This window comes from Homo sapiens, chromosome 6 (assembly GCF_000001405.40).
Source record: "Homo sapiens chromosome 6, GRCh38.p14 Primary Assembly".
Lineage (NCBI taxonomy): Eukaryota > Metazoa > Chordata > Mammalia > Primates > Hominidae > Homo > Homo sapiens.
The window spans coordinates 100763891-100782323 of NC_000006.12; the positions used below are offsets into that span (position 1 = coordinate 100763891).

At 32.9% G+C, this 18433-nt stretch overlaps 1 protein-coding gene across 6 annotated transcripts in view; it reads right to left on the reverse strand.

Annotated features, from left to right (window-relative positions):
* Positions 1 to 18433, reverse strand: part of ASCC3 (activating signal cointegrator 1 complex subunit 3) — a 373136-nt gene that overhangs the window by 255697 nt on the left and 99006 nt on the right. For 5 of the 6 annotated variants that reach the window (NM_006828.4, XM_011535394.4, XM_047418108.1 and 2 more), the window contains 2 exons: positions 3255 to 3455; positions 2675 to 2815 (listed from right to left, as the gene is read on the reverse strand). In NM_006828.4, the coding sequence (NP_006819.2) occupies positions 2675 to 2815; positions 3255 to 3455 (342 nt within the window). Of the gene's footprint in view, positions 1 to 2674; positions 2816 to 3254; positions 3456 to 6541; positions 6584 to 18433 lie in introns of all 6 variants that reach the window. The other variant, XM_047418109.1, reaches the window with a different exon arrangement.

Here is an 18433-nt window from a genome sequence, read left to right on the forward strand (position 1 = left end):
GTGTCTGCATACTTCTTACATCCATTGCTTGGCCAGAGTCTGCAGGACAGACTAGGCATAAGTCTAAGTAGATTTTTTTGGTTTTACTTTCTGCTCCTGTAAAATGGAGGTACTACCCAGTAGGGTTCTTGTGAAGACTCAGGGAAGTTGCACATATGCATTTAGCATAGTGACTAACTCATAAATTGAATTTAAATGTTATCTCCCTTGTCTTTCCACAAACATTCTTGCATTAGCATCAGTAACATAGTTGGATATAGGACAAGAGCAATCAAAATTTTACTTGAGAGTGATTCAGGTTTTTAACACTACATCAGGTCCAAAAGCACAGACTTTGTGCACTAGGTATTATTTTATGAATATAAATGAATGGTGCTACGGGATTCAGGGAAGAAGTAAATACAGAATTTGAACTGGGTTTTAAAGAATGGGCAAGATTTGGACAAATGTCAATAGATAAAGGAAGATACTAAGAAAAAGGAGAAAACACATGAGGAAACTTACTAAAAAGCAATGTTCATTTAAGAAAATATTATTTGAGCAATGCTATTTTAGAAAAAGCAAAAATGGCCTGACTATAGTTTATATTGAGAAGCATCTGGGAGATAAGGTTGAAAACCAGGCTGGATGTAGACAATAAAAAGAATCTGATGTCATATATAAGGCACTTTCACCTATCATAGTAGTTTTCAAATTGTTTTGGCTTTGGGACTCCTTTGTAATCTTTAAAATTATTCAGGTCACAAAGAACTTTGTCTTTTTGAATTAAATCTATCAATATTTCTATTTATTTATTTATTATTTATTGAGATGGAGTCTCACTCTGTCACCCAGTCCTCCCTACTTCATGACCTAATCTAAGTCCAATTATCTCCCAAAGGCCTCACCTCCAACTACAATTACTTGTGGACTAGGGCTTCAACATATAAATTGTGTTTGGGGGGTCGGGGAGATGATATGTAAACATTCAGCCCATATGTGTGACCTTATTTGAAAAAAGGATCTTTGCAGATGTAATTAAGGAAAGGTTGTTAAGATGAGATCATCCTGACTATGGTGGGCCCTAAATCCAATGACTAGTATCCTTAAAAAAGGGGAGTAGGGGAAAAGATAAGCGGGCGAAAAGGTCACATAGATGGAAGCAGAGCTTGGAGTGATGAATCTACAAACCAAAGAATGCCAAAAATTTCCAGCAGCCACCAGAAACTAGGAGGCATAGAACAGATACTGTCTCAAAGCCTCCAGAAGGAAACAACTCGGCTGACACCTTGATTTCAGACTTCTAAACTCCAGTACTGTGAGAGAATTAAGACAGTTGTTTTAAGCCACTGTAGACCAATGATAAAATTCTAAGCCCCCCAACCATCTGAATGGACCCCTCCTCTTACAAAGGCATTCCAAAGATAACCTGAAAAACTAGTTCAGGCCATGATGGGAAGTAAGAGCAGGACATGCCTCATTATACTCTCCTTCCTTTTGGAATTACTGATAGAACAGACTTTTTTAAGTCTGATAAGAAACATTTACAAACTATTCTCACTGAATAGATCAGCTTCATCGGCATGATAAAACCTTGGTCTCCACATTCCTTTCTTTAGATAATAACTCAACCAACCGCCAATCAGAAAATCTATACATCTACCTGTGTCCTGGAAGCCCCCACTTCAAATTGTCCTGCCTTTCCAGACCAAACAAATGTATATCTTACATGTATTGATAGATGTCTCACGTTTCCCTAAAATGTATAAAGCCAAGCTGTACCCCAATCACATTGAGCACATGTCATCAGGATCTCCTGAGGTTGTCACTGCTGCATCCTTAACCTTGGCAAAATAAACTTTCAAAATTGATTGAGACCTGTCTCAGATACTTTTGGTCTATACCACCAAGCTTATGGTATTTTGCTATGGGGGCCCTAGGAAATTAATTCACACCCCAATCACATTTTAAATCAACGTCTGCCCATTGTTTAAAAAGTTCTATTATCTATTTTCCATCAAACTATGAATTTTTCCATTAATATCTGGTCATCCACTATTTTATTTTTTTAAAAACACAATGAACTTCACCTTACTTATATATTGCTTTCAATACTAATCATCTAGTTGAAACCTAAATATTTTTTCTTACTTAGTCATAAGATTTTTGAAGACAGAAACTGTGTCTTAAGTGTCTTTATTGTCAGGTATTCATTCATTTCGTCTAATATAGTGCTATATACAGTGCATGATTTAATAATAATAACTTTGCATTTGATGAAATAATGAATGACCAAAAAGCTTATTATATGTTAAGCCATTCTTATGGAATAGTTTGGAATACTAGTGCAATCATTTTAAGATCTATATATGTCCCTCCTCTTAAAATTAAACTCTGGTATTATTTATATCCTCATCCCTACTATTTTAAAAGAATAGCCTTACTGCCCATAGACTTGGAACCTAACCATATTTGAGATGCAGTAAGAATTACAGGAGTTAGAAGGGATACCAGAAAACAAAGAACCAGCAAAAACTCTTTGTAGTACAGAGACAAGATGTGGTTACAAATAAAAGTTCACTATATTATGTTTGTATTATGTATTCTAGTTATTTAAGATATAGTCATTTAATAATTTTCACAATTACCTAAAAAAAGAATGGTATTAAACAAAAAATCTAGGTAAACAACATACCTGAGTTCGTAAAATTTCACTTTTGGACAACTGCATGTCACCAGTCAATTCTTTCACAATGATGCCTAGTGGCTCTAGACGTCTGCTGAAGTAATCTGTCATTTCAGCTGCCAAGGCTTTCATTGGAGCAACATATACAATCTATACCAAAGGAACACTAGCTTGATTAATGAGCAAAAACTACCATGTCATTTGTCTTACAGTAGCCAATACAAGTCACAATTTATTGTGAAATATGTTTCTAACTACTTCCAGTGAAAAATCTTAATAGTGATATATTAAAAGTCTTATCTTTGTGAGATATGTGTGTAGCTGTTTAAAGGACAATAGAATTTGTTTACACAGCTACATCACTTTGAAAATTGTATAGATGTATTTTCATAGCTTCTTACATGGTAATAGAATTTTCATAACACAAATAAGAACTGCCTTAATAGTAATGAAGTAAATCAAACAGTATTACTTATCTGACTTCAAGTACAATATCTTTAAGAACTTTCAAATTTCATGTAATATTAAAACTGCAAATTTATTTTATTCCTTACAATTTAAAAAGCTGTTGTCTGATTTATTTACTTACCTTAAATTCATTCTTTTTGATAACACCTTGTTGAAAATGTTGGCGAATTTCATGCAAGACTGTCAGCATTGCAATGTTGGTTTTTCCAGCTCCTGTAGGGGCACAAATCAGCATGTTCTCATTGGTGTTGTAGGCAGTCTCAAACACTATTGACTGGATTCTATTGAGTCTCTTCATTCCTTTAAAAGCCAGCTGTCCGATCTAAAAAAAAAAGGCATCACCCATTATAAATAGTAACAATGTGAAGGACCCATACAAATCATTATGTGTTAACATTTATTTCCTTTGTTTTTTAAAAAAAAGACTAATTTGTACTTTCACAATGTGTCTTTTATTTAAACGGAGGTATATGCAGTTGAGAATAACTGAAAAATATTGTACAATTCAAGTATACTTGAAATGGCAACTCGATAAATTTGAAAAATATGATGACACTATACCTATATTTTAGAACACTTTTTGGTTTTTTTGGTTTTTTTTTTGAGACGGAGTCTCACTCTGTCGCCCTGGCTGGAGTGCACTGGCGTGATCTCGGCTCACTGCAAGCTCTGCCTCCCAGGTTCATGCCATTCTCCTGCCTCAGCCTCCCGAGTAGCTGGGACTACAGGCTCCCGCCACCATGCCCGGCTAATTTTTTTTTTTTTTGTATATTTAGTAGAGATGGGGTTTCACCATGTTAGCTAGGATGGTCTCGATCTCCTGACCTCGTGATCCGCCCACCTAGGCCTCCCAAAGTGCTGGGATTACAGGCGTGAGCCACCGCACCCGGCCAGAATACAATTCTTAAGTAAAATAGATGGTAAATTAGTAATGTAAGAAAACAAAATTAAATACAGGTATTTTTTGAGTTCATATTCATTTATAAATTTCATGATGATGTTCTAATTTATCTAGTCTAAAGATGATTAATGAAACAGCAAACAAGATACTTCTTGAAGATGTAAATTAATCGCAAATTCTATTTCATATGTTTATAAAAAAACCTTTTTTTAAAACGCAGCAGTAATAGTAGGAACAAAAGCCATAGACTACACTTTGTGACACAGAGTTTGCACTGCAACATGTGCAGGTGTAGAATATACGATATTATTTTGTTTAATCCTCAAAACAATTCTATGGTGTAGGTACTCTTATTACTTCCCTTTAATCAAAAAGAAACTAAGACACAGAGCGGTTAAATAATTTTTACCTAAAATTTTCCTATATAAAAGTCTTAGATGAAAACTAAAAGGCCTAAAAGTAAGCAAAACACTGGTTGGGATTACTGGCAGAAACTTGGAATGGCTATATTAATGTCAGAAAAAATAAATTTTGAAGCCAAGAATATTACCAGCAAAACAGAAAGCCATTTCATAATGACAAAGAGGTAAATTAATCAACACGATATAATAGTCCTAAACATTTGTATACCTAATAACAGATCTTCAAAATACATGAAGTAAAAACTGAAGACATGCAAAGGGAAATAGGCAAATCCACAATTACAATCAAAGATTTCAATACCACTTCAAAATCTATAGAACAAGGAGGCATGAAAATCAGCAAGGCTACCATAGACTTGAATGGCACTATAAACCAACTTGACTTGATTGACACTTATTCATCTAATAATAGTAGAACACACATTCTCTTCCACTGCTCTTGAAACATTTAAGTTATACTATATTCTTGGTCAAAAAACAAGTCTTAATAAATTAAAAAGGAAGACAGTCATACAAAGCATATTCTCTGACTGCAATGGAATTATATCAGGTACCCTTATTAGAAAGATACTTGGAAAATATCTAAATATTTGAAATGAAATAGCACACCTCCTTAAATAGCACACTTTCTACCACTGATGAAAGAAGAAATCAAAACAGAAAGTAGTTAAGTATTCTTAACTGAAGGGAAATAAAAATTTATTATGTCAAAATTTGCAGAGACTGCTAAACCAATACTTAGGGGAAATTTTGTAGCACTAACTACTATATTGAAAAAGAAGATACCACATGATCTCACTCATATGTGGAATCTGAAAATGTTCATCTCATCGAAGTAGAGAGTATAATAGTGGTTACCAGAAGCTACAGAGGACAGGGGGAAGAAAAGCATGGGGAAAGGTTGGTCAATGAGTTCAAAGTTATAGTTAGACAGGAAGATTAAGTTCTGGTGTCTTATTACACAGAAGACTATAACAAATAATAATATATATTTCAAGATAGCTAGAAGAAAAGATTTTGAATGTTATTATCACAAAGAAATAATAAATACTTAAAGTGACAGATATGCTAATTACCCTGATTTGATCATTGCGCAGAATATACATGCATTAACATATCACATCATACCATTATTTATTATTTGTCAATTACAAATAAAACTTTTAAAAATAATCAATTAAAAAAGAAAAAAACAAAGGTTTCAAAAGAACAACTTTATCCTCCAAAATGAAAAATTAGAAAAAGAAAATCAAAACCAAAGCAGAATAAAGGAAATAATTATAAAGATCAATGAAACAAAAAACAGAAAAGGATGATTCTTTGAAATTAATAAAATTGATTAACCTCTGGGCAGACTGATCAGGAAAAATAAGAGAAGACACCAATTATCAATATCAAGAGTGAGAAAAGTGGCATCACTAGAGATAATATAGATATTAAAAGAATAGTAAGAAAATATAATGAACAACTATATGCCAGTAAATCTGACAACTCAGATGAAATGGACAACTTTCTTAAAAAACACAAATTGCCAAAGCTCACTCAAAAACAAATACACAACTTAACCCAATATCTAGTAAAGAAATTAAGAATGAGGTTAAAATTATTTCCACAAAAAAACCTCCAGGGCCAGAAAGATTCTTGAATGAATTCCACCTAAAATTTAAGATGGAAATAATATCAATTTTAAGTGGAGTTTTAAACTATTTCAAAAAAAATGTAAAAAAAGGAATACTCCCCAAATCATTCTAAGAAGCTAGCACTGCCCCAATATAAAAGCCAAACAAAATAAAATCACAGACTAATACTCCTCAAAGCATAAATTTAAAAATTATAAATGACATAATACATCACAGAAAAACTACATGATCATCTTAATAAATGCAGAAAAAGCATTTGACAAAATCGAACATCCATTTATTATTTTTTTGGTCTTAATCTTAGCAAACTAGAAGTAGAGGAGAATCCCTCAACCTGATAGAAGGCATCTACAAAAGCGTTACAGGTGTTCCTATCATATTAACAGGGTAAGACTGAATGCTTTCCTCTAAAACCAGGAATAGGAAGGGTATTACACTCACTCACCAATTAACATTGTATTGAAGGCTCTATCCACTTAACATTGTACTGGAGTGCAATTGGAAAAGGGGAAAAAGAAAAAAAAAAGAAATAAAGTCATTAATATAAAAAAGGAAGAAAAAAATACCTGTATTTAGAGATGACCTGATTATCTATGTAAAAAATCGGATGGAATCTACAAAAGAGCTCCTAAAGCTAATGTGTGAATTCAGGAAGGCTGCAGGATGCAAGATCAACAACTAAAAAATTACATTTCTATATACCGGCAATGAAATATCTGAAAGCAATTTTTTTAATCAGTAAAAATAGCACTCTGTTATGAATTTCTTAAGGATAAATATGAAAAGAGATGGGAAAGACCTGTACACTGAAAAATATTCTATTTTGCTAAATGAAAGATAAAATTCTTAAGATGTCTTTTTTTTTTTTTTTTCCCAAACTCATCTACAGATTCAATGCAATTCCAATCAAAATCCCACCAGGGTTTCCTATGGAAATTGACAAGCTGACTTTGAAATTCATATGGAAACACACATGACCTAGAAGGAACAAAACAACTTTGAAAAAGAATAACAATGTTAGAGAGCTAAAACTACCTGATGTCAAAAATTATTAAAACACTAGAGAAATCAAAACAGCAAGGTATTTACATAAATACAAACAAATCAAGGAACTGAATACAAAATCCAGAAATAAATCCACACATATTTGGACAACTGATTTTTGACAAGGGCTGAAAGGCAATGTAGATGACAAAGGTCAGCATTTTCAATAAATGATGCTAGAACAAATGGATATACACGTTAAAAAAATGACTTGAAACCATACCTTGTGTCACATACAAAAATTAACTCAAAATAAATCACTACCTGAATGTAAAGCCTGACAGTATAAAACATGTAGAAGAAAACATGGAAGAAATTCTTTGTGAATGTGAGTTATGCCAAGATTTCTTAAATAAAATAAAATCTATAAACAAATCAGTAAATTTGACTTAAGCAAAATGGAAAACCTACTATCTTTAAGATACTGTTAAGAAAATAAAAAGATAAACCATAGAATGGGAGAAAAATCTTTGCAATACATATATCAGATAAAGTGCTTATACGTAGAATAAAAAAACTCAACACAACAGTAAAGAAAACAAGCAATTTAATCTTAAGAGTATGTAAAGATTTAAAGAATCATTTCACCAAAGAAAATATATAGATGTCAAATAAGCACAAATAAAAATGCTCAACATCATTAGTCATTAGGGAAATAAAAATTAAAATCACAACTATGCACCTGTTAAAATGGCTAACATTTAAAAAATTGGCAAAATGTTTAATAATTTAATTTTTTTAATTGCAAGTATTGTTGATGTAGAGAAAAAAGAATTCACACATACTGATAGCAGATAAACTACATGTACAATCACTTTAATAAAACAATCTGCAAGTTTTTTTTTTTTTTTTTTTTTTTTTTTTTGAGATGGAGTCTCTTGCTCTGTCCCCCAGGCTGAGTTGCAGAGGCATGATCTCGGCTCATTGCAAGCTCTGCCTCCCAGGTTCACACCATTCTCCTGCCTCAGCCTCCGGAGTAGCTGGGACTACAGGCGCCAGCCACCAGGCATGGCTAATTTTTTTTGTATTTTTAGTAGGCATAGGGTTTCACCATGTTAGCCAGGATGGTCTAGATTTACTGACCTCGTGATCCACCCGCCTCAGCCTCCCAAAGTGCTGGGATTACAGGCATGAGCCACCGCACCTAGCCCAATCTAGCAAGTTTTTAAAAGTTAAACAAACATACACCTAAACTAAATGTACAATAACTTTAATAAAACAATCTAGCAAGTTTTTAAAAGTTAAACAACATACACCTAACATACCCCTTTGAGGCTCTACCCAAGAGAAAAAGAAGTACATGTACATACAAAAACATGAATATGAATGCTCATAGCAGCTTTACCTGTAATAGCCTAAAACAGGAAAACCACTCAAATGTCCATCGACAGATAAATGGATAAACAAAATGTTATATATTGATACAATGGAATACTACACAGCATTAAAAAAGAATTAATTATTGAGACATGTAACAACATAGATGAGTTAGACAACATAGACTTATCTATTATACATTTGCTTATGCTTTCATTTGGACAAAAGATATACTCAGAAGAGATCACAGTAGTATCTCTTAGGCCTAGAAGCTCTTAGGCAGGCCAATTAAACATCTGAGAGTACCACTGATACTTTCTTCACCAATTTCTCCTGATCACTTAGCCTCGGAAGGACAGTACAGCACATTTTTCAGGATACTGGGCTTACAGTCAGAGACCCAAGTTAAAATACTGGCTTTGCCACTACTTGCAATATAACTTTTAAGAAACCTAAGATCTCTAAATTTTATTTTCTCCTCTGCAAGGTAATACTGCAAGTATGACCCGCAGGTAACTTAAGATCTCTAAATTCAATTTCCTCATCTGCAAGGTAATATTGCAAGGTAAAGGTGTTATCTTTTTAACACAAGGAAGTTACAAAAATTAATTTTAAAATAGCTAACAATTATGGAGTGCTTACTATGGGCTAAGCACAGGAGTCCTTTACATAAAATATCCTAATTATTTCTATAGCCATACCAGAATATTTTATAGATGAGGAAACTGAAACTTGAGAAAGCTTGTTTAAGTTCACACAACTATAAATGGTAGAGCTAGTATTTGAAGTCATATAACTTCAAAAGCTGAGTCTTTAATTAGATAATATTTATAAATCATATACTATAAACCATACACAGAGATGGTACTTGTTAAATATGTTGAAATAAATTAATGGTAGCTATTATTATTACTATCATATATCATTTCATTTTTATACGAGGTTTCCTAAAATAGTGCTATGAATGAATGCAGCTATTTCCAGTTTTTATAGACTTATGACAAGAAACAGAGTATACTATTCCTAAACTACAAATCTGATCATGTCACATTCCAGCTTACAAAATGTTCCAAGACTTCTCATTGACTCTTCATTACCATTCAAGTTTAAGCTCAAAAGCAATTTCTGGTTCTCTCCAATTCCCTAAACAATTGTTATCTTTACTTCTTTGTGCTTCAGCATATTTTAGAAGATTTAAGGAACTACCGTAGCTTCTCTCAACAACTAGACACTCAGACAACCCTCTTTATGTATTATTATTATGACCCTTAACCACAAATATTGAAATGAGTCTTTTATATGTATTTCTGACCCATTAGATTGAAACTAAGGATTCTGTTTTTTATTACTCTTTGTATTACTCCAGTACCTAATCAATTGCCAGGAACATAATAGGCTACTAAATACATTTTTATTGAATGATTTTATGCTGGCTACTTGGAAAAAGAACTATAATTAAATGAGGGGAAAAGTTTAAAGATAGATATACACTGCATACATAATGTCCTCCAAAGAAATACTAAATTGAATCTAGCCAAAATATGTAGCATTTTAGCAAAAGCCCTATATTCAACTTTCAGTAAAAAACCTATTTCTTTGTTTTTGAAGGTTATAGTTCAAGAAATAAATAATCAGAAGAATATACTAACAAACAAAACCTATTACATATATAGAGGTTTATAACATTCTAATCGATTCAACATTCATTTACTGATTGTTATTGTACTAAGTTCTGTCAATACAAATATTTGTTTTCATAACAAAAGTCAGACAATTTTTAAAATGATCCTTAAAACTGACTAGTTTCTGGGTTTTGCTGATGATTTCTGAGATAGCGTCTTGCTCTGTTGCCCAGGCTGAAGCGCAGTGGAGCAATCATAGCTCACTGCAACCTCAAACTTCTGGGGACAAGCAATCCTCCTGCCTCAACCTTCTGAGTACATGTCACGTGCATGTACTCAGACATGTGCATGTACATGACACGTACATGTCATGACACGTGCATGTCACCACACCTGACTAACTTTTTTTTTTCGGAGATGCACTCTCACTCTGTTGCCTAGTCTGGAGTGCAATGGCACTATCTTGGCTCACGGCAACCTCCGCCTCCCAGGTTCAAGCAATTCTCCTGCCTCAGTCTCCTGAGTAGCTGATACTACAGGCGCCCATCACCACGCCTGGCTAATTTTTTGTATTTTTAGTAGAGACAGGGTTTCAGCATGTTAGCCAGGATGGTCTCGATTTTCTGACCTCGTGATCCACCCAGCTTGGCCTCCCAGAGTGCTGGGATTACAGGCGTGAGCCACTGCACCCGGCCCTAACTTTCTTATTTTTAGTAGAGACAAGGTCTTGCTGGTCTTGCTCAGACTGGTCTTTGAACTCCTGGGCTCAAGTTATCCTCCCACCTCAGCTTCCCAAAGCACTGAGATAACAGTTGTGAGCTACCACACCTGGCCCTAGTTTGTCGTTTAAAGGAAGAAAAAGGCATGTTTAAAATTAGATTACATCATTTAGGTTTCTATAAGGATATGAACTATATGCTAAGGTATGTGAGGGAGAGACAGTCACTAAGCATGCCATATTAGGTACAAGAAACAGGATATTAGAAAAACACTTAGGGCTGGTGAAAAGGAGTAGCAAAGATGATGAAGATGGAAAAGTAGGCCAAGAGCAGACTACAAAAAATCACATATGCTACACTGAAGGAGCTGACCTTTTCTTCACTCATTTACCAAGTTACTAAATGAGCATCAAATTACTGAATGAAATAGCCAGGGACTTTTTCAGCCACTAGGGATGTAACTGTGACCAAAAGCGACACGGTTACTATTCAAGGTCTCTTTTAAGCAAGGAAAAAGCATGTTATAGTTCTATTTGGAATATAATTTAAAAAGTCTAAAACCATAGAAATAATAAATTTATCTTCTGAGAATAAGAAGGCTTAGATTTAAATTATGAAAGAAAAATTCAATATAAAGAAAAGAAATTATCAAGACTCCTCTGGAAACATCTCTAAAAGATATTTTAGAGACTATATGAAGAAATTATCAGAGGGAACTGAGGCCTAGAGAGGTTAAATAACTTACCCAAGTCTACCCTGCTAATAAATTGTGGCCGAGACGGGACCTAAACTCAGTTTGTCCTAGCTCAAATACAAATTACCACTAAATTTACTGTTTAAAATATGATGATTTATCTTGTTCGGTAAGTATCCTCTACATTTATTTCAAAATAAACATCTCAAAAAAATCTTTATAATATTATTGCATATATATACATCACTATCAACAGAACATGCTGAATAGAAACAGCAAGTTAAAAAAGAAAAACCCTCCAAAACTTCCTAACATATTTAAAACAGCCCACGTTTTATACCACTCCCTATAAAGTTTCTTTTTATTTCTCATTTCAAATTAAGGAAAATGAACGAAATAATTTTCACCAATAAACTTGTTGGTAAAAATAAAAGGAATGTGCTCAGACAGCAATTGTGACAGCAGTTAAAAAAAAAATCACTAGAGGGCTCAGTATACTTGATATTGTGAATTGTGTTTGTAAGCTATTGGAACATGAAATAATTAACATCCATTATGCATAGATTTCTTATATTTGAATAATATTCAAATTATATTAACAAATGCTTTAAGTTAAGAAAACAAATGATTAAAGAAGAAGAATAATGTGGGTTATATCAAAACTCTATTTTACTCAACTTTAGAACTACATGCTAATAATATTTATTGTTTTATTTATATTTCCTGCACACACAATACCTAATTAAATGCAGCTAATAATCTTTGCTTCCAAATATTTGACATTCTTCTAACTTAAAACATTTCATATTGATTTTATACATTAATGAATACATAAAGTTAAACTGAAATTATTTCTTAGCAAATCAGCATTTCCTTTTAAACAGAAAACTGAGAGTCTCATGATCATTTATCTTAAGTGCTTTATGTTTAATCCAGATAGTCATTCTAAGTATATACCATTTTCCCTTTTAACTGGTTCTAACTACTAAGCATTTTCAAAACATATCATAATTAGCAGACCAGAAACATTTTAAGTGTTACAAGCTTCATTCTACATCCACTTTATACATATTTGGGACTCACCAGACTACTGATCTTACATACATACGCCAGACTACTGATCTTACATATGCTTATCTTACATATTTGGGACTCACTAGACTACTGAAATAAGATGACTTATTTATGAAATTCCATAGAAAGTGTATGTTTTGGATATCCATTTATTAAATACTGGTAATACAGGCTACTCGTGAGTGCGCACTCTATTTTTAAAAGTAAACTGGATGATAGTATTTAGCTGGAAGAACAAAAATATACAGTAAACATACCTCATTTTTTATAATAATCATATATATTTATTTTGTCAGTTAATTAGAAAGCATTAACTAAGTATCTAGGATGAACCCAAGAACATGCTGTCCCTCCCAAACTAGTGTAAATATCATAAGCTTAAGTTTAAGATAATCAAACCATAGACATTAAAATTTCAGCATATATTTATGATAAATCATATAGATACCAAGGACATACATTACATAATTTTCACAGTTTTTCTTCGGCTCCCTATAAAATGTGGCTTAGGCTCAAAATTTCAGAATTAGTGATGATAGCCACTCCACACACTCCGTCCAAGTTTTATATTCTGGAATCCCACCACTCTAATATTCCTCACAAACCTGGCTCCATGCCATAATCTACGTAAGTCACGAGATTAAAAATCAAACAATTTACATGAATACCTTATTTAACATACTTGAGTATTCATTAGATGATCAGATGATTTTCTTTTAGATAACTGGATAAATTTTTTCATTTAAAGGTCTTCAAGTACTGACTACTTTACATGTGTGTGTATGTGTGAGTGTATAAAACTATTTTTGATAATTACTCTAAAATAGATGACTTTGGGCTTTCCTAACAGGATACGTTTTAAAAAAACTCTGATCTTTCATTTATAGGTGGAATCATTCATTTATTTGGCAAATAGTTCTTGAATATCTCCTCTATGTGGCTTAAACTGTTCAAACACTCAATAAGGTAGACAAAGTCTCTGCTGTCATGTAGCTTACATTCTAATTAGGGTGGAAGACAAAAAAAAATCAACATGTTTACTAATTTAAAAATTGTTTCAAATGCTCCTATGAATACATTTTAATAGATGGTGTAATGGGGAGTGAGACATAACAGTTACCTTAAATTAGGTTTCTAGAAAGGTGCCTCAAGAGAGGTGATCTGAGTTGAGAATAAAATGACAAGAACCAGGCCACGAAAAAATTTGAAACCTCAGTACATTCTAGGCAAAATGAAGATCCAGAAGCAGACCACTAAATCAGGACTAAGTTGAAATGTTGAAGGAACTGTACAGAGATTAGAGTGGCTGAGTAAGAGGTCACACATGAGATGGGAAAGAAAGACAGGAATTGTAGGTAGGTCATAGCAAAGACGTTGGATTTTTGTTCTCAACACAATTAAAATCTCTGCAGGATTTTAAGTAGAAGAATAATATAATATGATTTGTAATTTTTAAAGCTGTCTCTGGCTACCATGTGGAAAAAAGACTGAGAAGTAGCATAAAACTATGGCAGTAATACAAGTGAAAGGTGATGCTGGTTTATACTGGAGTGTCAGCAGAGGAAATGGAGAGAAGTAGCAGAACCCAGGCTATCTCTTCGAGGTACAGCCAATGGATCTGATGATGACTTAAATGTAAGATGGTGGAAAAAAAAAAAGAGAGATAAATCAAAGATGACGTTTTTCTTGAGTGAAAAATAGTTTTTAGGATATGAGGAAGATTAAGATGACAGACTGAGAGAGAAAAATAAACACTCCATTTGAAGTACCTATTATACATCTAAGTAGAGATTTCAAACAGGCAATTACATCAGAATTTGAAAGTCATGGAAAGGTCAAGGATTTTTAAAAATTAATTTTCAGAAAGGTAGTGATTCTTCCAAAATTATATAGTAGCAGCAGACTCAAATTTCAAAAGTTTGCATTCTAGTAATCTTTCTAAATTCTGTCTAAAATAAGAAGTTAACGGACACTAGGTAACAGTTTAGTGGATTCTTCGAGGAATAAAGTATATAAGGTTTTATATAATAATACTACACCTCTATTTTAGTTGTTAGAAATCTTCTTTTTGTCAATTAGGGTTTATCAACTGTATTTGTGGTCAATGGAATTTTGTAATATACTACTTACACTAGATAAGCATTGTTATAAGTAACTAGTCACAAGATTAAACTTCAATCATCTTAATAAAAATACTTTTGATAGTTAACATAACTTAATAAACAAATTTTATTATTGAAAGGCTACGTGACATACAACAATGCAGATTTTTTAATATTTAAAATCTAATCATGCAACAGCCTCTAAAAATTGAATAACTTGGTGTTCCAAATGTAATCAAAGTCTTGCTTAGGAAGAGTAAACCATATCCAATATAATATCATAGATCTCACATATTTGAGAAACGTTTGGCTATTCAATAAATATGAAATTGAACTAAAAGTTAAGTTTAATATATTCTGATTATTTTACTTCAACAATTCATATGATTACTTGGGCAAAAGAATCATACACATTTTACCACATTAACATAAATATATAATTAGTAATTATGTAGATAAAAATCTTTAAGGTAATTTTAAAAGATCAACATAAAAGATGAACATTGCAAGATATACAGCTATGATAAGCTTTCAGCTTTCCTAATTACCAAGTGATTTCTCAAATTAGAGGAACAGTTAAGTAAATTATGATATACCTATTCAATGAAATAATATGCATTCATTAAAATAGTAATCAAGGAGAATATGAAGCAACATGAAAAAAATCCTATATACATTAAGTGAAAAAAATACAAAATTATATTTTATTTTATTTTTTGAGATGGAGTCTCGCTATGTTGCTGAAGTTGGTCTCAAACTCCTAGGCTCATGTGATCCTCCTGCCTCAGCCTCCCAAGTTGCTGGGATTCCCCTCATGTGCCAGCATGCCTGGCTCCAAAATTATATTTGTACTGTGCTTACAACCATATTTTAAAAGACCACATTAAAAAACTGGAAGAAAATACTGCTGGCTGGCTCCACTCCTCTATTGTTATCATGGAGTCCCCTTTTCATCTCTCTGAGGATAAACCTAATTTATAGGTGAAAAAGCTTTCAGATAACAGAAACTGATTCATATTTTACATGAGTGAGCCACCTTTTGCCCTAAAATTCTCATCCTTTTTAAGTTTCAGGGGATCTCTCAGTAATAGATTCAGATAAACAAGTGTAGAAAGCTCAGGACTTCAATTTAGGCCTTAGAGACCTTGGGACAGGTAGGTTTATGGATATGTTAATTTCAGGTAAACTATGTTAACATACTAGGGCAAGTATCTTTATCTGACCAGTTTGTTTCCATAGAAAAATGCATTTGAGTTGTAAATAAACAACTTAGAAATCAAGGCTTAGACCATAATCTTTCATACTCTACTAAGAACAATAGAAGACAAAATATCAGCTACCCTAATCATAGAGAAATCTTAAAGGTGAGGACTACATATTAAGAAACAAACAAATTAATCCTAGAAGTTGAAAATAAACAACTGAAAAATATTTAAAAACATTTTAAATATTCCCAGTCTAATTCATCACTGTCCAATGGAAGTATATTAAAAGTCATATAATATATACTTACATCTTCTAGCAGGAACATTAGAAACACACAAAAACATGTGAAATTAATTCTATAATGAATTTTATTTAACTCAATGTATCTAAAATATCATCTTAATATGAAATTGTAAAATTAGTGTATGTTACACTTAAAGCACATTGCAATCTAGACTAGCCATATTTTAATTGCTAAACACCCAGATGTGGTTAATGGCTACTATGTCAAACAGTGCAGCTCTGGAGAGTGCCCAGCTAACTTATATAATGCTCATAAATTGATAAATAAACTGTCCTAACACAGCAGATTACATTCAGGGAAAATCTCTTAGGGCAACATTCAAAAATCCTTAATGTGGTCGAAAAGACCCTGCCATAATATGAGGTTCATGAAATTCAGATAAAATATATTGCCAGGTACAGTGACTCATGCCAGCAATCTCACAACTTGGGAGGCTAAAATGGAAGGATTGCTTGAGGCCAGGAGTTTGAGGCTGCAGTGAGCCATGATCATGCCACCACACTCTGGCCTGGGTGACAAGGCAAGGTCCTGACTTAAAAAGAAAATAAAAAACTACATATTAAGGAGTCTTTAGGAAAGAGAAAGGACATTAGTCTTTCTCTTGATGTCTTATTCTCTATAGTTATCCTTGGTAAGCATAAAAACAAGGAAACAAGTAACCATTTGTTGAATGTGTTAAACAATGGAATTAATGTTCTTTTCCAAAATTGACTCAATCACTCATACTTATTTCTATATTCCAACCCAAGGTATAAAACAGTGAGGTTGAAATGTCAACCACATATTACATTAGTGTCCCAACCTAAGCCTCATTACTCATCTTTATTAAAGGTTGACAAATACTTTACAAATACATCACCTGATCAAATGAAATCACTTGTATTCCCTAAAGTGCTAAACAAGAAATATAAGAAGTATTTTCCTTTAAAATATGACTACTATGAGGCAGAAATTATGATTTTCAACTTCATCTCTCTAATTCCTAGCACAGTAAATGGTGTAAAGCAAATACTCAGTGATGTTGTTTTTTTCCTCTGTGCTTGCTTCAGCTGAGTCATTTTGATTAAATCATAATTATCAACTATGAACTGCATTGTTGATGAATGTTTATAAATCAACTAAGAGTTAAGATGCTCCATGTTAAGAATAAATTGTTCTACTCACATTATTTATTAAGTTCCACAAGTGTTTTTTATCATATATTATAAATATTAGTCAAATAATTTTTTTCTATAGTTATTCACTGAAGTTGCCGCCTGTAAAACACCAAGTTAGCTTGGATTGCAACTGCTCGTGGTACACTTGTTTTTTTGTTTCGTTTTGTTTTGTTTTTAAGACAGAGTCTTGCTCTGTTGCCCAGGCTGGAATGCAGTGGTGCGATCTTGGCTCACTGCGCCCTCCGCCTCCCGGGTTCAAGCGATTCTCCTGCCTCAGCCTCCTGAGTAGCTGGGACTACAGGTGGGTGCCACCACGCCTGGCTAATTTTTTTTTTTTTTTTTTTAGTAGAGACACGGTTTCACCATGTTAGCCAGGAAGGTCTCAATCTCCTGACCTCGTGATCTACCTGCCTCGGCCTCCCAAAGGGCTGGGATTACAGGTGTGAGCCACCGCGCCCGGCCAGTACATTTGTTCTTAAAACCAAAAAAGGTAGTTTCAAAACATACTTTTAATATATTTTTTAATCTTCCTGACACTAAGCACTAAAAACTCTAAACATAACCAGACATTTAGCATATCATGGAATTTCCCACATTAAGAATACAAATTATGTATTACATAAGAAATATGTAACATTCTATCTTTTCTACTTATCCCTAAGAAACTGATTGACTGTTTATACCCAATCCCAATTTACATATCTATATTTTTATATATTTATATCTCTCTATATATATTATACCAACATATGCTATTATTTTAAAATATCATCCTTCTAGGTCCAGAGGTAACAAAATATTATTTCTAAGAGACTTTATAAAAATTACTAAAACCCAGGCTTATTTGTTTGTTTGACCTGCAAAAGAATTATAGGGAATTCTTGGGAGACTGTATAGTCCAACTAGGGTTCCTCCTCTACTATACATAACAGAGTTGGTCAACTAAACTCTAGATCAGTGTATTTCACAAAGAAGGTTATGCCTTACTAGTGAGTTATGAAATTAATTTAGTGGATTGTTATCGGTGCTTTTAAAGAATAGAAAAGAAAAAGGAAATACTAATGCATCACATGTGATAAGGATAAAACAGTTTCATGA